The sequence below is a fragment of the Homo sapiens genome, chromosome 13 (assembly GCF_000001405.40).
Source record: "Homo sapiens chromosome 13, GRCh38.p14 Primary Assembly".
NCBI lineage: Eukaryota > Metazoa > Chordata > Mammalia > Primates > Hominidae > Homo > Homo sapiens.
Window position 1 is genome coordinate 48,408,107 of NC_000013.11, and position 20,932 is coordinate 48,429,038.

General features: G+C 38.1%; 2 protein-coding genes across 13 annotated transcripts in view, besides 1 other annotated feature; one reads left to right on the forward strand and one right to left on the reverse strand.

Moving 5' to 3' along the window:
- The window catches only part of RB1 (RB transcriptional corepressor 1), a 178,140-nt gene that overhangs the window by 104,356 nt on the left and 52,852 nt on the right, over nucleotides 1–20,932 (forward strand). The window lies entirely within an intron of this gene.
- The window catches only part of LPAR6 (lysophosphatidic acid receptor 6), a 55,099-nt gene that overhangs the window by 18,536 nt on the left and 15,631 nt on the right, over nucleotides 1–20,932 (reverse strand). For 2 of the 11 annotated variants that reach the window (XM_047430019.1, XM_047430020.1), the window contains 4 exons: nucleotides 18,474–18,689; nucleotides 15,887–16,013; nucleotides 7,594–7,704; nucleotides 3,032–5,005 (listed from right to left, as the gene is read on the reverse strand). In XM_047430019.1, the coding sequence (XP_047285975.1) occupies nucleotides 3,283–4,317 (1,035 nt within the window). In that variant the 5' untranslated portion in view covers nucleotides 4,318–5,005; nucleotides 7,594–7,704; nucleotides 15,887–16,013; nucleotides 18,474–18,689 and the 3' untranslated portion in view covers nucleotides 3,032–3,282. Of the gene's footprint in view, nucleotides 1–3,031; nucleotides 5,008–7,593; nucleotides 7,705–8,206; nucleotides 8,467–9,060; nucleotides 9,215–14,543; nucleotides 14,685–15,886; nucleotides 16,014–18,473; nucleotides 18,803–20,932 lie in introns of those variants that run through there. The other 9 variants (XM_047430021.1, XM_047430022.1, NM_005767.7 and 6 more) reach the window with 8 other exon arrangements.
- Nucleotides 3,491–3,992: an enhancer, noted in NCBI's record as "H3K27ac hESC enhancer chr13:48985733-48986234 (GRCh37/hg19 assembly coordinates)". NCBI's record gives its function as "activates a minimal SCP1, AML or CMV promoter by ChIP-STARR-seq in naive H9 embryonic stem cells {active_cell/tissue: H9 hESC(naive)}" and the evidence as "EXISTENCE:reporter gene assay evidence [ECO:0000049][PMID:30033119]".

The window sequence follows — 20,932 nt, forward strand, 5'->3', positions numbered from 1 at the left end:
ATATTTCTCAATTTAGTGACTAATTTCTTTAAATACCAATATCTATAATTAAGATTTCTATTTCCAATTTACTTTTCAGCATTTTGAATGTAGAATATTAAGGTTCATTGATAGCTCCTTAAGTAGTGTCTTCAGTTTAATTTTCTGTGAATATAATATATATAATACATATATTTTTATGCTTTTTAAAATAAACTAGGTACTTGATATTTTCTCAGTAAAGATGATTTCTAAGTTCAGAAATTATTAGGATGCTGGAAAGCCATTTTTCCACACCTGAAAAATTTTCTCAGCTTACTGTGTTCCTTTGAAGGGAGTTAATGTGGGAAGGAAGATTAGTCAAATCATCTACCGTTTTATGAAAATGTTAATAACAGTGGGCACAGTTTTTATAGGGGGGCTTAGTGCTATCATTTTCAGGTAATCAAAAGTAAAATCATCAGAGTTCTAATATTAATATAGGTTTTTCTGAATAAAGGGGGAAGGGAAGAGAAAACCCTCAGAATATATGACTTACCACAAAGTACAACACTAGCAAAGGAAAATAAATTTTGTTCTGGTACACTTTTTTTCCATAGTTCTAGATGAGAAAACCATGTTTGTTATCTGTTATGTATTGCTTTATGAAGAATCTTACAAAACTTTTGATTCATTTATCTTCCTGTTGACAAGAGACACCAAAAAGTTTCTTTATGAACATAGTAATAACAACTATTTAATGACTGTTTTATTTGCATTTTAAAGTTATATTCATGTTTTATGATCTTGCCTTAAGTTGAGATCTTTAAGCTGAGGAGAGTTCTGAGAAATCTCAAAGTTATACAATTCTCCACCCCTTTCCCCCAGATCAGTAGATTGGTAGTTGCTTCTCAACTCAGTATGTTTAAGAAAGAGTGTATTTTTATTTACTGAAGTGTAATATCAAATAAAGGAATTTCAGGTCAATGGAAGAAAACACATTTATATTATGTATATATTTCTCTTGGGATATAAAGGACCATGGTTAGTATCTTCACTAGTTTTTTGGGTTTTTTTTCTTTTCTCTTTTTTTTTTTTTTTTGAGATAGGATCTTGCTCTGTTGTCCATGCTGGAGTACAGTGGTGTGATCATATCTCACTCTAACTTGGAACTCCTGGGCTGAAGGCATTAAAGATGTATTTTGCTTTAGGTTTATCTAAAGGAAACCATGGATCCCTAAAGAAAACCCCCCACTGTTATTTTATTGAAAATGGGTTTACCTGTCTAGCAAATGATTGTGATTTTTCTGAAATCATTACACCTCAAACCCAGAGAACAGCAAAAATCAAATTTATGTCTTAAAAGAGTTTTTTGTCCAAGTTGTATTGAGGACTTGAAAGATTAAGACAGTAGAAATCAGATAGGTTGGATGCTGAATTTAATTACATGTCCTTTTCCTTAAATAGAAGGCATTCTTTTTTAGTTAACTTTGGAGAACTGCTTGATTTTTTTTTTTTTTTTTTTTTTTTTTTTTGAGATGGAGTCTCGCTCTGTCGCCCGGCTGGAGTGCAGTGGCGAGATCTTGGCTCACTGCAACCTCTGACTCCTGGGTTCAAGCGATTCTCCTGCCTCTGCCTCCCGAGTAGCTGGGACTACAGGCATGTGCCACCACACCCAGCTAATTTTTGTATTTTTAGTAGAGACGGGGTTTCACCATGTTGGCCAGGAGGGTCTTGATCTCTTGACCTTATGATCCACCCGCCTCAGCCACCCAAAGTGCTAGGATTACAGGTGTGAACCACCGTGCCCGGCCTGAATTTTTTTAAAAAAGGAATATGTTGGATAATAAAAAAGTTTTAGTGTACTTGGTACTTTTTTTCTAAAGTATACCTCAGAGCCAGACCTATTTTATGTTTAGTGAAATGAAAATATAGTTTTGTTTAGTTATTTGGCCTTGTAGTTTTGTTACTTTATAATGTAAGGAACTGTGTCCTTAATTAATCATTTTGACGTACAATAACATCTTGCCTACTTGAAATAATGTTTTGAACTTCCCAATATTTGGCTTAAAATGGCCAGAAGAGTGAAGGAAAAGAAAATATTTACAGTCATGCATCACGTAATAGCATTTTGGTCAATGACCGCATAAACGATGGTGGTCTCATAAGATTATCATACTATATTTTTACTGTACCTTTTCTGTGTTGAGATGTATTTAGATACACAAGTACCATTATTTTACAGTTGCCTACAGTATTCTTTGCAGTAGCATGCTGTATAGGTTTGTAGCCTAGAAGCAGTAGGGTGTACCATATAAGCCTAGGTGTGTAATAGTGTATACCTTCTAGAGTTGTGTAAGTACACACTGTGATGTTTGCACGACATAATTACCTAAGCAAGCATCATAAGCAACACGTGACAGTATATTACTTTCTAAATGCCAAGTACTATATTTCACTATCTCTGATGTTTCTCCGACCTAACATACTTAAAACATAAGTTCTTGACTGTGATGTAAGTGCACCTTTAAAATGTACCTCTGGTAGTATTTTATTTTTTTGCTAAGTAAAAACTTAGCAAAATGACATTTTATTAGTTTTCTCCCTCTCAATTTTTGTGGCATATATCATTTTGAAATTGGGTGCATTATATACAGAAAATCAAAATAGTAACTTCAAAGCATACCATATAGATAGCATCTGCTTTCTACAAATTGCCTACACAGACCAAACTCCCAAAATGTTATCAATGTGTTACTGCTCAAGATCTTCCAACAATGTTAATATGTCATCATTTCTACAGAAGACTACGTTTTTAGTTATACATATATTTTAAAATACTCCCAAAACATTTATTTCAAATTACTCTTCTTTCTCATTTGTTAATCATAGTTTAAGAAATATGATTAGTAGTTTTAATTCAAAATAAAAATGGTATGTTGAATAAAATATTACATAAACATAAATTAGTATAAAATAATTTAGTAAATTAAATCATTTAATATAAAAAGGAATTCAAAGACATTACAGATTGGCACCACATAATTTAAGTCAGTCACTTTTAGACACTAAATAACTTTAAGAGATTTTTTTTAATGAAGGAACAAATCAAAATGGCTCAGAAAAATCAGATGGAGTGGATACACAAATAAAATACATGTTAATGCTTAACACATTGAATACAAATTTTCTTTATACTAAAGACTTTAAAATGTCCATGTGTTAATTTCTTTTGGAGGTGGAAAAATAGTTTGTCCAAAAAGACACTTTTCACAGTTGAAGGAACTTGAAAGTTCTGTCCCAGTGAGTCCTAATGGTTTTATTTCAGGCAGCAGATTCATTGTCAAATATCTTACTTTTTAAGGTCTGTAGGTTATGCTGAATAAAATTCTCTGCACCATGAACTTCAGAGAATCTGAAGTCACTTCTCCTGACAGACCAGTTTTTCATTTTTATTGAATTCTGAATTGTGTCCGATGTAAAGTAGTAAACTATAGGGTCAAAACAACAGTTGGAAACAGCAATACAGAGAGTGATTGGGTACATTGTCCTTACTGCTGCCACTACTGAGCAATTAACAAATGTTTGTGTTCTCACAAGAGAATATAAAATAAGATTGATATTGTAAGGAACAAAACAGAAACAGAATATGATCAAATGTACAAAAATCATTTTTAAAACCTTAGTTTTGTTTATTTTGCTTCTACTTAATGTAACAGGTTTGGTTAAAGTTTTTAGCACCATACTAGAACAAGTTACATTTAAAATTAGAGGAATAAAAAATCCCACTATTTCGATGAAAATTACAATCCTTGAGAGATATGTTTTCCATGTGGCTTCTGGAAAATTTTCAAAGCAGGCTTCTGAGGCATTGTTACCCTGAGAGTGGGTAGACTGAACAAAAACGGCGGGTGCACTTCCTCCGATCACAGTTAACCACACGCCAGTGCAAACAATCTTTGCATTTCTTTTGGTTCTTAGAGTCTTTGACTTAAATGGGTAGACAATTGCCAGAAATCGATCTACACTAATACAGGTTAAGAACAGAATGCTTCCGTACATGTTGGTATAAAACAGCATCACAGAAATCTTACAAAGTAAATCTCCAAATGGCCAATTCCGTGTTGTGAAGTAAAAAATCCTGAAGGGTAAAGTAAAAACAAAAAGCAAGTCTGACATTGCCAAGTTAATCATGTAAGTTGTAGTTTCATTTCGGACTTTGAGGACGCAGATGAAAATGTATATGGCAACACAATTGGATATTAACCCAAGCACAAACACCATGCTGAACATGCACCCATACAAAGTGTACTTAAAGGAGTCATTATAGAAGCAGTGGGAGCTGTTAACGCTTACCATCGTAAAGGCACGTCCAATTTTCAGTTTGGAAGCACTTTCATCAGCTGCAGTCTCCTTTGGGATTCAGATTATAACCTCTATAACCTCCAATTTATTTGCAAATTATCTGGATCTTTGGATGGTTTTATAAATATTTCCTTTTTCTCAGAAATACCCAAAAGAAACATGAAATTTGTTGCTGTAAAATTTCCGCTGGGTTCTTCAACAGGAAAATATTTTCATTTGTTAGTCTTTAGAAAATCCATGAATTCCAAGGCTCAGTTAACTGACGAGCAACCTTTAAAAAATACAGTCAACGAGTCCAACCCATAGGATTATAAATTTAAAGAAAAGCTGTGATCTGTGACCAGAATGAAACCACTTGTCTTCTAAACTTGTATTTCAGTAGTCAAGATGAATACTCCAAAGTTAATGTTTCTTTATGCCTCAGAATGTTAAGCTTAAGTTATCAATCTTATTTTCTTTTCAGTGCAGAGTTTCAGAGACTTAAACATTCCCAATTTGTCCCATTTTACTTCTTGCTTCTTTTAAATGAAGTTTTCCTTTTTTGTTTTCCTGCAGTGGATCCCAGATTGTGGGTAAGCAGAAGAGTCTTTTAAAGATTCCGAAATAAACTCCCAAGCTTGTTAGCTCTTGTTGAATTGAGGCCTTTTCCTCAGTTGCCAGTTGTATCTTGAGGTCGCTTTCTCTGAAGTGAAAAAGAAAGGCTTCCTAGATTTGTAATATGACATCACAGGAAGAAGAGGCTGGGTTTGGACAAAGAAACTTTCAGCCCAGTTTGTTTGCACTTCCTTTAATCTGATAATGTGTCTGCTGGGAATATACCTAGGAGGCTTGCAAATGGTCACTGGCTGTTGAACTGCGTGGTCTGCTCATTAACTCTTTTTATGTGGAAATGCCTTCTGCGGTGCTGGCAACCTCTCAGAGTTGTTTTGATTTGTTTCAGTAGTAATAATTGAAAGAAAAAAATCACTATTCAGCCTGTTCTCTTATTCGATTGTTTTCGTGTTTGGGATATGACAATTTAGAAAAGAAAATGTGTATGGGTGTGTATTTATAAATTGAAATTGTTAGTGATATCTTAACATAGCATTTCAAAGAACTGTTTAATGACTATGAAACAGGGGCCTTTAACCTTTAAGGTATAACAAGCATTTGACTCTTGGTTTCTGAAAAATACTCAATATTTAATTGTTATCATTATGAGTAGCTCTTATCCTGGGTCTCATTAGTTTTTGATAAGCAATTTTCTAACATTCTTTCCTCTTTCCTATGCAGTTGTATTAATATTTTAGAGCTGTTTAAATTTTTAAATTACTCATTTCTCCAAAAGAACAAACTCAAGAATGTTTATCTTTGGTGTGGTGTTAATTTTACTTTCTAAGCACAAAATGAAATTGCATCTTTTTAAGCAAAATTTTTTTAACCTTAAATTGATTGAAATAAGGTTTAGAGAATAAAAATCCTACTACTTGGCAAAATTTTAGGTTCATAGTCTTATCTTCCTTCTTCCTCCCAGCTCTTCCCTTAACCCCTTAATATGACATTAACTATATATTGAAATATATTTCAGATTTTGTCTCCATCTAAAAGTTTCTATGAATGGTTTATATGTTTATATTTAAAGTATACTCATATTTTGGGCCAGGTGCAGTGGCTCACGCCTATAATCCCAGCACTTTGGAAGGCCGAGGCAGGTGGATCACCTGAGATCAGGAGTTTGAGAGCAGCCTGGCCAAAATGGCGAAACCCCATCTCTACCAAAAATACAAAACTAGCCTAGGGCAATAGTGCGTGCCTGTAGTCCCAGCTACCCAGGAGACTGAGGCAGGAGAATCGCTTGAACCTGGGAGGCAGATGTTGCAGTGAACCAAGATCAAGCCACTGCACTCCAGCCTGGGCGACAGCGAGACTATCTCAAAAAAAAAAAAAAAAAGTATACTTATATTTTAAAGACTCCAAAATCAGAAGAAGAAAGTGTGTGTAAGGTGAGGGTACTTAAATGTAGGTGTTATTTCCTCAAAGATTGAGGATATCACAACCTCTATGGCACATGTTTTTCTTGTTTTAAATATCATTTTCTTCAGAAAAGGCTAGATCTAGTTATGCCTTACTGTTATTATTTTTTTAATTTGGTCTAGTTTAAGCTGAAACTCTTCCTCTTGGGTATTAAGTAATTTAAGAACAATTTATTTTTTTCTCATAAATTACTTAGCTAGCTTAAAAATAACTTATTACAGTAAAATGTTTTGTGTTGTTTTGCACCATTCTTTCACACTCAGCAATTTTTGTCATTTGTTGATGAACTATAATCTATTTCTACTGTCTGGACTAGAAAATTCATCTATTATCAAATGACAAAAAAAGATGAGTATTACTTATAACCAATACTTAAAATTTTGAAGGGTTGAATATCTTTTATATCACATTTGGTATAGAAAAGATGTATGTGTGTGTTCTTATTAGAAGGCTGGTAGAAGCTGAGTGAGCATTAATGAAAAAAGGAGTGGTTAATAAGCTTGTATTCTCATTGGAAAAAATTTTCTGTTAGTAGTTATGTCTTACTGTTATTTTTTTTTTATTTGGTTCAGTATGTTTTAAAAAAACAAAATCTTAGTAATCTTCTTTCAAATTGATAGTCTCCTCTTTAGTCATCTTTAATTAATGAAATATATGCAGTTGTATATGCTGATCTCATCCTACTTTTACTTTCATTTTGAATATGGCGGCATTTTCTCATTCAAATAATTAAAATTTATTAATTCTACTTGGAATATTTTTCTACATATTGTCATTACTCACTTGACTTGTTATTCACTTAAGTCATTCATCTATAGTTTTTTCTTTTCTTTTCTTTTTCTTTTTCTTTCTTTCTTTTTTTTTTCTCACTCTGCCGCCCAGGCTGGAGTGCAGTGGTGCGATCTTGTCTTACTGCAACCTCTGCCTCCCAGGTTCCAGCAATTTTCCCACCTCAGCCTCCCGAGTAGCTGGGATTATGGGCACCCGCCACCACACCCAGCTAATTTTTGTATTTTTAGTAGAGATAGGGTTTTACCATGTGGCCAGGCTGGTCTTGAACTCCTGACCTCAAGTCATCCACCCACTTCAGCCTCCCCAAGTGCTGGGATTCCATGTGTGAGCCACCGTGCCCGGCCTGTTCATTTATAGTTTTTTAATGTTTGAGTTACTGGGGCTTAAAAATGGATAGATCACTATTTGTTGAATTAGGCTTTTCATTATTATCAGTATCATAGTAAATGTTTGTATAATTCTTACCACAATTCTTGGTTCTTTGTAGATGATTCTCACATGTTTGCTGATGAATGAATCATAAACTTGAATTTTGTTGCCAGTTGTTTCTACTGAGGAAGAGCCATAGCAGAGGGACTGTTTGAACAGGAAGAAGATAATTGAATACTGCATTTTTTCCAGATATTAAATTTGGCCTCTAATTAAGGAACCAAAGGGGAATTTAGAAACTTTGAAAAATTCTTAGGTTAGAATTGGAAAAATACAGAGTAACTACTTGCAAAGGGAGGTAATGAATCCATATAATCAATTATATTTAATAGATACTTTTGTATTTGATAAACTCAGGCAAACTGTTATTTTAATGTGAGATCTCTACACTTCTGGAACTTAACTCTGAGAATCAACTTATTTCTTATATGGATTTTTTGGGGGGAGCGAAAATTAAACAGAGCCAGATAGATGTTAAAATGGTGAACACAGGAACAGCTGGAGTCTGCAGCTCCCAGCGAAATCAACGCAGAAGGTGGGTGATTTCTCTATTTCCAACTGAGGTACCCAGCTCATCTCATTGAGACTGGTCAGACAGGGGGTGCAGCCCATGGAAGGCGAGCCAAAGCAGGGTGGGGCATCGCCTTACACGGGAAGTGCAAGGGGCCAGGGAACTTCCTCCCCTAGCTAAGGGAAGCCATGAGGGAATGTGCCACGAGGAACGATGCATTCCGGCCCAGACTCTATGCCTTTTCCGTGATCTTCACAACCCTTAGACCAGGCAATTCCCTCGGGTGCCTACACCACCCAGGCCCTGGGTTTCAAGCACAAAACTGGGCAGCCGTTTGGGCAGACACCGAGCTAGCTGCAGGATTTTTTCTTTTTCGTACTCCAGTGGCACCTGAAACACCAGTGAGACAGAACTGTTAACTCCCCTGGAACAGGGGCTGAAGCCAGGGAGCCAAGTGGTCTAGCTCAGTGGATCCCACCCCCACAGAGCCCAGCAAGCTAAGATCCACTGGCTTGAAACTCTTACTGCCAGCACAGGAGTCTGAAGTCGACCTGGGATGCTGGAGCTTGGTGGGAGGAGGGGCTTCTGCCATTACTGAGGCTTGAGTAGGTGGTTTTCACCTCACAGTGTAAGCAAAGCCACCGGGAAGTTTGAACTGGGTGGAGCCCACTGTAGCCCAACTGCTTCTCTAGAGTCCTCCTCTCTGGGCAGGGCATCTCTGAAAAAAAGGCAGCAGCCCCAGTCAGGGGCTTATAGATAAAACTGCCATCTCCCTGGGACAGAGCACCTGGGGGAAGGGTGCTATGGGTGGCTATTGGTGCAGCTTCAGCAGACTTAAACGTTCCTGCCTGCTGGCTCTGAAGAGAGCAGCAGATCTCCCAGGACATTGCTCGAGCTCTGCTAAGGGACAGACTGCCTCCTCAAGTGGGTCTCTGACCCCCATGTCTCCTGACTGGGAAACACCTCCCAGCAGGAATCGACAGACAACTCACACAGGAGAGCTCCAGCTGCCGTCTGGTGGGTGCCCCTCTGGGACAAAGCTTCCAGAGGAAGGAACAGGCAGCAATCTTTGTTGTTCTGCAACCTCTGCTGGTGATATCCAGACAAACAGGGTCTGGAGTGGACCTCCAGCAAATTCCAGCAGACCTGCAGCAGAGGGGCCTGACTGTTAGAAGGAGAACTAACAAACAGAAATGAATAGCATCAATATCAACAAAAAGGACTTCCACACAGAAACCCCATTTGAAGGTCACCAACATCGAAGACCAAAGGTAGATAAATCCATGAAGATGAGGAAAAACCAGCGCAAAAAGGCTGACAATTCCAAAAACCAGAATGCCTTTTCTCTTCCAAAGAATCACAACTCCTCGCCAGCAAGGGAACAAAACTGGACAGAGAATAATAAACTCCTCCAAGCCAAAGGACCATGTTCTAACCCAATGCAAGGAAGCTAAAAACCTTGAAAAAAGGTTAGAGGAATTGCTACCTAAAATAAGCAGTTTAGAGAAGAACATAAATGACCTGATGGAGCTGAAAAACACAGCACAAGAACTTCGTGAAGCATACACAAGTATCAACAGCCAAAGCAGAAGAAAGGATATCAGAGATTGAAGATCACCTTTATGAAATAAAGTGTGAAGACAAGATTAGAGGAAAAAGAATGAAAAGAAACGAACAAAGCCTCCAAGAAATAGGGGACTATGTGAAAAGACCAAACCTATGTTTGATTGTCCCTGTACCTGAAAGTGACAGGGAGAATTGAACCAAGTTGGAAAACACTCTTCAGGATATTATCCAGGAGAATTTCCCCAACCTAGCACGACAGGCCAACATTCCAATTCAGGAAATACAGAGAACACCACAAAGATACTCCTCAAGAAGAGCAACCCCAAGACACATAATCGTCAGATTCACCAAGGTTGAAATGAAGGAAAAAATGTTAAAAGCAGCCAGAGAGAAAGGTCGGGTTACCTACAAAGGGAAGCCCATCAGACTAATAGTGGATCTCTCTGCAGAAACCCTACAGGCCAGAAAAGAGTGGGGGCCAATATTCAACATTCTTAAAGAAAGGAATTTTCAACCCAGAATTTTGTATCCAGCCAAACTAAGCTTCATAAGTGAATGAGAAATAAAATCCTTCACAGATAAGCAAATGTTGAGAGATTTTGTCACCACCAGGCCTGCATTACAAGAGCTCCTGAAGGAAGCACTAAATATGGAAAGGAAAAATTGGTCCCAGCCACTGCAAAAACATACCAAATTGTAAAGACCATTGACACTATGAAGAAACTAATGGGCATCAACTAATGGGCAAACTAACTGGCTAGCATCATAATGACAGGATCAGATTCACATATAACAATATTAACCTTAAAAGTAAACGGGCTAAGTGCCACAATTAAAAGACACAGACTGGCAAGTTGGATAAAGAGTCAAGACCCATCAGTGTGCTGTATTCAGGAGACTCATCTCACATGCAAAGACACGTGCTCTAAATAAGGGAATGGAGGAAGATTTACCAAGCAAATGGAAAGCAAAAAAAAAAAAAAGCAGGGGTTGCAATCCTAGTCTCTGATAAAACAGACTTTAAACCAACGAAGATCAAAAAAGACAAGAAGGGCATTACATAATGGTAAAGGGATCAATGCAACAAGAAGAGCTAACTATCCTAAGTATGTATGCACCCAATACAGGAGCACCCAGATTCATAAAGCAAGTCCTTGGAGACCTACAAAGAGACTTAGACTCCCACACAATAATAGTGGGAGACTTTAACACCCCACTGTCAATATTTGACAGATCAATGAGACAGAAAATTAACAAGGATATTCAGGACTTGAACTCAGCTCTGCACCAAGCAGACCTAATAGACATCTACAGAACTCTCCACCCCAAATCAACAGAATAGACATTCTTCTTAGCACCACATCACACTTATTCTAAAACTAACCACATGATTGGGAGTAAAACACTCCTCAACAAATGCAAAACAATGGAAATCATAACACAGTCTCTGAGACCTCAGTGCAATCAAATTAGAACTCAGGATTAAGAAACTCACTCAAACCTGCACAACTGCATGGAAACTGAACAACCTGTTCCTGAATGAATACTGGGAAAATAATGAAATTAAGGCAGAAACAAAGAAGTTCTTTGAAACCAATGAGAACCAAGACACAACATACCCAAATCTCTGGGACACAGCTAAAGCAATGTTTAGAGGGAAGTTTATAGCACTAAATGCCCACAGGAGAAAGCAGAAAAGATGTAAAATTGACACCCTAACATCACAATTAAAAGAACTAGAGAAGCAAGAGCAAACTAATTCAAAAGCTAGCAGAAGATAAGAAATAACCAAGGTCAGAGAAGAACTGAAGGAGAGAGAAACACGAAAAACCCTTCAAAAAATCAATGAATCCAGGAGCTGGTTTTTTGAAAAGATTAACAAAATAGATAGACCACTAGCCAGGCTAATAAAGAAGAAAAGAGAGAAGAATCAAATAGACACAATAAAAAAATGCTAAAGGGGATATCACCACTGATCCCACAGAAATACAAACTACCATCAGAGAATACTGTAAACATCTCTATGCAAATAATCTAGAAAATCTAGAAGAAATGGATAAATTCCTGGACACATACACCCTCCCAAGAGTAAACCAGGAAGAAGTCGAATCCCTGAATAGACCAATAACAAGTTCTGAAATTGAGGCAGTAATTAATAGCGTACCAACCAAAAAAATCCCAGGAGCAGATGGATTCACAGCTGAATTCTGCCAGAGGTACAAGGAGGAGCTGGTACTATTCCTTCTGAAACTATTCCAAGCAATAGAAGAAAAGAGAGTCCTCCTTAACTCATTTTATAAGCCAAGAATCATCCTGATACCATAACCTGCCAGAGACACAACAAAAAAAGAAAATTTCGGCCAATATCCTTGATGAATATCGACGTGAAAACCCTCAATAAAATACTGGCAAACTGAATCCATAGCACATCAAAAAGCTTATCCACCACAAACAAGTCGGCTTCATCCCTGGGATGCAAGGCTGGTTCAACATATGCAAATCAATAAACGTAATCCATCACATAAACAGAACCAAAGATAAAAACCACATGATTATGTCAATAGATGCAGAAAAGGCCATTGATGAAATTCAACACTGCTTCATGCTAAAAACTCTCAATAAACTTCATATTGATGGAATGTATCTCAAAATAATAAGAGCTATTTATGGCAGACCCACAGCCAATATCATACTGAATCAGCAAAAGCTGGAAGCATTCCCTTTGAAAACTGGCACAAGACAAGGATGCCCTCTCTCACCACTCCTATTCAACATAGTATTGGAAGTTCTGTTCAGGGCAGTTAGAAAAGAGGAAGAAATAAAGCGTATTCAAGTAGGAAGAGAGGAAATTAAATTGTCTCTGTTTGCAGAGACAATGATTGTCTATTTAGAAAACCCCATTATCTCAGCCCAAAATCTCCTTAAGCTGATAAGCAACTTCAGCAAAGTCTCAGGATACAAAATTAATGTGCAGAAATCACAAGTATTCCTATACAACAATAATAGACAAACAGAGAGCCAAATCATGAGTGAACTCCCATTCACAAATGCTACAAAGAGAATAAAATACCTAGGCATACAACACACAAGGGATGTGAAGGACATCTTCAAGAACTACAAACTTCACTGCTCAAGGAAATAAAGAGGACACAAACAAATGGAAGAACATTCCATGTTCATGGATAGGAAGAATCAATCTTGTGAAAATGGCCATACCACTCAAAGTAATTTATAGATTCAATGCTATCCCTATCGAGCTACCATTGACTTCCTTTATAAAATTAGAAAAAACTACTTTAAATTTCATATGGAACCAAAAAAGCCCATATAGCCAAGACAATCCTAAGCAAAAAGAAGAAAGCTGGAGGCATCATGCTACCTGACTTCAAACTATACTACAAGGCTACAATAACCAAAACAGCATGGTATTGGTACCAAAACAGATATATTGACCAATGGAACAGAAGAGAGGCCTCAGAAATAATGCCACACATCTACAACCATCTCATCTTTGACAAAGATGAGACAAAGGATTCCGTTTAATAAATGGTGTTGGGAAAACTGGCTAGCCATGTGCAGAAAACTGAAACTGGACCCCTTTCTTACACCTTATACAAAAATTAACTCAAGATGGATTAAAGAGTTAAATGTAAGACCTAAAGCCATGAAAACCCTAGAAGAAAACCTAGGCAATACCATTCAGGACATAGGCATGGGCAAAGACTTCCTGACCAAAACACCAAAAGCAATGGTAACAAAAGCCAAAATTGACAAATGGGATCTAATTAAACTAAAGAGCTTCTGCACAGCAAAAGAAACTATCATCAGAGTGAACAGGCAACCTACAGAATGGGAGAAAATTTTTGCGATCTATCCATCTGACAAAGGGCTAAAGTCCAGAATCTACAAGGAACTTAAACAAATTTACAGGAAAAAAGCAAACAACTCCATCAAAAAGTGGGTGAAGGATATGAACTGACACTTCTCAAAAGAAGACATTTATGTGGCCAACAAGCATATGAACAAAAGCTCATCATCAGCGGTCATTAATGAAATGCAAATCAAAACCACAATGAGATACCATCTCATGGCCGTTAGAATGGCGATTATTAAAACGTCAGGAAACAACAGATGCTGGAGAGGATGTGGAGAATAGGAATGCTTTTACACTGTTGGTGGGAGTGTAAATTAGTTCAACCATTGTGGAAGACAGTGTGGCGATTCCTCAAGGATCTAGAACCAGAAATACCATTTGACCCAGCAAGCCCATTACTGGGTATATACCCAAAGGATTATAAATAATTCTAATATAAAGACACATGCACACATATGCTTATTGCAGCAGTATTTACAATAGCAAAGACTTGGAACCCACCCAAATGCGCATCAATGATAGACAGGATAAAGAAAATGTGGCACATATATACCATCGAATACTATGCAGCCATGAACAAGGATGAGTTCATGTCCTTTGCAGGGACATGGATGAAGCTGGAAACCATCACTTTCAGCAAACTAACACAGGAACAGAAAACCAAACACCGCATGTTCTCACTCATAAGTGGGAACTGAACAATGAGAACACATGGACACAGGGAGGGGAACATCACACATCGGGGCCTGTCGGGGTTGGGGGTTAGAGGAGGGATAGCATTAAGAGAAATACTTAACATAGATGATGGGTTGATGGGTGCAGCAAACCACCATGGCACGTGTATACCTATGTAACAAACCTGCACGTTCTGCACATGTATCCCAATACTTAAAGTATAATACTTTTAAAAAATGGTGAAGACAAGCCTTTTTTTAGGACTGTTGCCATAATGACCTTGTAGACTGATTTGAAATATAGTGTATCAGCTTTGGCAACATAGGGAAACCCTGTCTCCATAAAAAATTTAAAAATTACCTGGGTGTGGTGATGTCAACCTGTGGTCCCAGCTGGTTGGGAGGCTGAAGTGGGAGGATTGTTTGAGCCTAGGAGGTTGAGACTGCAGTGAGCTTTGATTGTACCACTGCACTTCAGCCTGGTGACAGATCAAGACCTTGTCTAAAAAAAAAACAAAAAGGAAAGAATATAGCCTACATATACAACCAATTCAAAATATAGTGAATCTTGGCCAGGATCTGTGGTTCACACCTATAATCCCAACACTTTGGGAGGCTGAGATGAGAGGATCACTTGAGACCAGGATTTCAAGACCAGCCTAGGCAACATAGTGACACCCTGTTTCCAAAAATTAGCCAAGTGTGGTGGTGGGCACCTGTAGTCCTGGTTACTAGGGAGGCTGAGGTGGGTGGATCACTTGGGCCCGGGAGATTGAGGCTGCATTGAGCTATGATTGTACCATTTTACTCCATCCTGAGTGACAGAGAGAGGCCTGTTCTCAAATAAATAAGTAAATAAATAAAAAGAATGAAATATAGTGAATTTCATTATGTAATGCATCGGTTTTTAAAATTTAATGACATCTGATTCTGATTCTTTGAATACTTTCACTGCTTAAGCTGCTGGGTTGGGTTTTTGTTTTTGTTTTTGTTTTTGTGTTTTTGAGACGGAGTCTTGCTCTGTCATCCAGGCTGGAGTGCAGTGGCGCGATCTCGGCTCACTGCAACCTCCGCAGGTTGGGTTTTTTCACTCTCAGGTATAATAGATCAAGGAGTCACCTTACACTCTTTATGTTTAAGGATTTCTGATTTTTGAAACAGGTTGCACAAGAAACATGTATAAGATTAAATATTCTGTAAAAGGCTTCCCTTTATGTTTCAATAGCATTCTTCTTTAAAAGACCTATTTTTTTCCACAATAAGACACCGTGTTCTTTTACTATAAAATTGATCAAAGAGGAATCGATTAAAACTTTAAAGAATTCTCTCATTAAAAGTTTCGAAGGCCATAATTGAAATTGTACATAACATTGAGAACAGGGGATATGCAAAAAGAAAAAAGAAAAAAATCAAATGAGAGAGTATGTGAGACTTAAAACAGAAATAAATTGATTTAAGTTCAAAAGAAAGTGTGAGCCAGGCATAGTGGTACACTCCTGTAGTCGAAGCTACTCTAGAGGCTGAGACAAGAGGATCACTTAAGGCCATAGGAGTTTGGGGCTTCATTGCTCTTTGATGACACCTATGAATAGCCACAGCACTCCAGCCTGGGCAACATAACGAGACACTGTCTCTTGAAGAAAGAAAGAAAAAAGTATGGGACATTGATATTTTAAAATTTAAAAAGAATTATTCTAAACTTACTTCAGTCATTTTGCATGCAGCAAATGTTTGCCATGGTGAAATGTGACTTCCATCTCTTAATTTACACTTATGCAAAAAGCAGTTTTCTCATTTGGGATTCTTTTGATGCTCATTATGATAAAATTTTCTATTTAGGTATAGAAACAAATAAACCTTTTTCAATTTGAGAAATGAACATTTGTAATTTATGTTGACAGAATATATTTATTTTCTATAAAAATATCTTTTAGCCTAAGGAGAAAAAATCTTAAATTCTAGACTAGTATTACCATAAGTCTATCGGTATCATTTCGAAGTGATTTACCTTCCTTTCATTATTGTAAACACTTAATACTTTATGTTACTTTTTACCGGAATGTGAGTCATCTACCCAAGTTCAAAGAGTTGAACCAACTTTTATAGAGTTGGATGGGAGTAGAAGAGGAAAGATTTAAAGGGTGATGAATGATGATTAGAGCAAAGTAAAAGTTGATGGGAATGATGGTTGAAGCAGGTTCAAACAAGTAGGGAAAGGAAATCAAGAGGAGTGAAAATGTTATTGTGGTAAGATTTAAAACTTGAATAAGCATATTTATCTGTGCATACACTTGAGTTGTCCCTTCTTCCTTATCTTTTTTTCCGAACTCTCTTGTTGCTTCTTCATCTCCAACTCTTAGAATCATATCACGTCTTTTCTATGGAGTCTCCTTAATCTCATCAGTTCCTTTTCTGTACTTCCACAGTACTTAGTTTGCCTTTTAAGACATATACGTGCAATTCAATTAAGAATGAAAAACAAGGCCATGTGTGGTGGCTCATGCATGTAATCCTAGCACTTTGGGAGGCCAAGGCGGGCAGACCTCTTGAGGTCAGGAGTTTGAAACCAGCCTGGCCAACATGGTGAAACTCTGTCTCTACTAAAAATACAAAATGTTATCCAGGTGTGGTGGCTCACACCTGTAATCCCAGCTACTCAGAAGGCTAAGGCAGGAGAATCACTTGAACCTGGGAAGCAGAGGTTGCAGTGACGGAGATCATGCCACTGCACTCCAGCCTGGGTGACAGAGCAAGACTCTGTCTCAAAAAAAAAGAAAAATAAAAGAATACAAAACAAAGAAATAATTGCAATACAAGATATAACAACAGCTATTAGTAACACATAGACATGAGAATCTACGAATTTAGTAAAGAGCTTCTTGAGGAGATGATGTGTAATGAAGGCTAGCCTTTACAGTTGAATACAAATTTTAAATTTCAGGTCTTGAAGGCTAGAGCCATTCCTGGTAATAATGTCCCATTAATATAGTCATGCTGCCTTTCTCATCCAAAAACACAGAAAACTATTTGAGTGACTATTTTCTCCATTCTCTCAAGGATGCTATGTAACCTAGTCCTACTCTGAATTCCTGGAAGATGTTAATTCTTCACATACAATATATGCCTTGTGGCATAAAGGCTGAATTTGGTCATAAAACCTTAGTTGGGTAAGGCTAGGTGGGTTGTAGCTTTCAAAAATTTTTCACCTAGTTTAGACGCTGCAAAGTGTAATGAAAGGACCAATTTCACTAGGTGTTAAGTGACTTGGATTCTAATCCAAGTTACTAAAAATTAATGTGCGTCTCCTGAGCCCCACCTACTCAGGAGGCAGAGGTAGGAGGATCTCTTGAGCCCAGGAATTCCAGTTTAGCCTGGGCAATATAGAGAGTCCTCAACTCTTAAAGGAAAAAAAAAATGACATGACCTTGAGCAAATAATTTAGCTTCTCTATTGTATATTTGTAAAAGGAGAGTATTAAATTAGACCTATAGAATTCTTTTCAGCTCTTAGCTTTCTATCTAATTCAGTCTCCCCACTAATTTTCAATGACAAGAAAGAACATATATTATTGTTTCAATTTTACAGACCAAGAAACTAAAATTCAGAGAAGTTGTGACTTGCTTAGGATTACAAAGTGATTATTGGTGGAGAATGACGAAGTCAAAACTAAAAACTGGGTCCTCACAAGAAGTACCCAACCCAGTTCCTTATACATGTTTGTATAATGAAAGAATACAACTTAGTGAGTGCATGCATAAAGGATAATAGAAAGCACTGTGACCTAGAGATCCAGAATCCTTGATTTCTAAATTTTGACCTTACCTTGGGCAAACTCTGCCCTGAACTTTAAGATGGATATGACATGCCCTTTTGACCTTATGAAGAGTTTTCAGAATAAAATGAAATGAAAACATATTCTGAATGTAAACCTCTAAAAAGATACTATTATAGATGACATCACCTATAATATCTTAACTTTATAGAAATAAAGGTTATGTTGTGGGAAATCATGGAACAATAAGATTTGTTTTGTTTTCTTGACCAGATAGGATGCCTGTGCTCTGTCAGATAAAGAAGTGATCATGTGATGCATTTGGTATGCCTTTTTTAGCACTGCTAATGTACAGCCAATTTAAATCAAATAGACATAGGCTTTGCTTATAAAAACCACATATATTTCTAAGTTAGTTTGCTTGGTGGTTAACACATTGCATATTGCATTAGTCTTAATATCCTCTAATGTTGGAGCTAGCACTGGATCCTAGAAATTCAGAATAAAAGTCCACCTTACCCCTGTTACAACTAGCCATTCATCTTCTTTGGTATATAGTTTAGCTCTCCTTCCAGTCACTCAAGTACAACTTAGGAAACTAAAACCATAGCTGATTATTGCTGGAGCAGGAACTCGAATCCTAGTTTCTTGACTTCTAGTCAAATGTTCTCGTAGTAACAGGTAGCTTTCACCCTTTTTTTCTTACTGATGTTGTGCTAGTTCGTTCTTGCATTGCTGTAAAGAAATACCTGAGACTGGGTAATTTGTAAAGAAAAGAGTAGGGTTTAGTTGGCTCACGGTTCTTCAGGCTGTACAGGAAGCATGGCATCAGCTTCTCCTCAGCTTCTGGTGAGTCCTGAGGAAGTTTATATTAATGGCAGAAGTCGGAGGGGAAACAGGCATGTCACGTGGTGACAATAGGAGCAAGAGGAAGGAGGAGGTCCCATGCCCTTTTTAAACAAGCAGATCTCTTGTGAACTAACTGAGCGAGAGCTCGGTTATCACCAAGGGGGTGGTGCTAAACCATTCATGAGGGATCCACCCCCCTGATGTAGTCATCTTCTACCAAACCTCACCTCCAGCATTGGGGAGCACACTTCAACACGAGTCATCTACCAAACCTCACCTCCAGCATTGGGGAGCACACTTCAACACGAGTCATCTTCTACCAAACCTCACCTCCAGCATTGGGGAGCACACTTCAACACGAGTCATCTTCTACCAAACCTCACCTCCAGCATTGGGGAGCACACTTCAACACGAGTCATCTTCTACCAAACCTCACCTCCAGCATTGGGGAGCACACTTCAACACGAGTCATCTTCTACCAAACCTCACCTCCAGCATTGGGGAGCACACTTCAACACGAGTCATCTTCTACCAAACCTCACCTCCAGCATTGGGGAGCACACTTCAACACGAGTCATCTTCTACCAAACCTCACCTCCAGCATTGGGGAGCACACTTCAACACGAGTCATCTTCTACCAAACCTCACCTCCAGCATTGGGGAGCACACTTCAACACGAGTCATCTTCTACCAAACCTCTCCTCCAGCACTGGGGAGCACACTTCAACACGAGTCATCTTCTACCAAACCTCACCTCCAGCATTGGGGAGCACACTTCAACACGAGTCATCTTCTACCAAACCTCACCTCCAGCATTGGGGAGCACACTTCAACACGAGTCATCTTCTACCAAACCTCACCTCCAGCACTGGGGAGCACACTTCAACACGAGTCATCTTCTACCAAACCTCACCTCCAGCACTGGGGAGCACACTTCAACACGAGTCATCTTCTACCAAACCTCACCTCCAGCACTGGGGAGCACACTTCAACACGAGTCATCTTCTACCAAACCTCACCTCCAGCACTGGGGAGCACACTTCAACACGAGTCATCTTCTACCAAACCTCACCTCCAGCACTGGGGAGCACATTTCAACACGAGTCATCTTCTACCAAACCTCACCTCCAGCATTGGGGAGCACATTTCAACACGAGTCATCTTCTACCAAACCTCACCTCCAGCATTGGGGAGCACATTTCAACACGAGTCATCTTCTACCAAACCTCACCTCCAGCATTGGGGAGCACATTTCAACACGAGTCATCTTCTACCAAACCTCACCTCCAGCATTGGGGAGCACATTTCAACACGAGTCATCTTCTACCAAACCTCACCTCCAGCATTGGGGAGCACATTTCAACACGAGTCATCTTCTACCAAACCTCACCTCCAGCATTGGGGAGCACATTTCAACACGAGTCATCTTCTACCAAACCTCACCTCCAGCATTGGGGAGCACATTTCAACACGAGTCATCTTCTACCAAACCTCACCTCCAGCATTGGGGAGCACATTTCAACACGAGTCATCTTCTACCAAACCTCACCTCCAGCATTGGGGATCACATTTCAACACGAGATTTGGAAGGGACAAACATTGAAACCATATCAGACATAAAATAGGAAACTTGGTCCATAGCTTAGGTAAATATTAAGCAAAGAACTTTGTCTTTAAATGAGTAAGCTCTGCAGACTTTTTAAAACACTAAATTCTAACATTATGATAGAAATTTAAGATTAAGAGATTTTAGACATTTTCATCCTTCTGTAGATTAAAATCGTATGATGACCATCCTTCATTTTTAGCTTCATCTTTATTTATTTAAAAAGTTTGCATTTGTACATAGTAATGTGCCAAGTTTTATACAAAAGCAGGAAATATCTCTGCTGCTTTCAAATAATTAGAACAAGGGTTTTCTGTGAATAGTAAATTTAACACCTTCCAGCATAGATTATTATCAGAAATCCAAGTACTCTTCAGTTAAAGTAAACACTTATTGACTTGTATCTTTTACCTATTACTGAGGGGTAGAAGTTAAAAAGGATTGGTCTCTCAGGATGCTCCTGGAAGCTGCATGCTTGTGGCTATAAAGCTATTCTCTGATATACCTGAATTCTTTTGCTCCC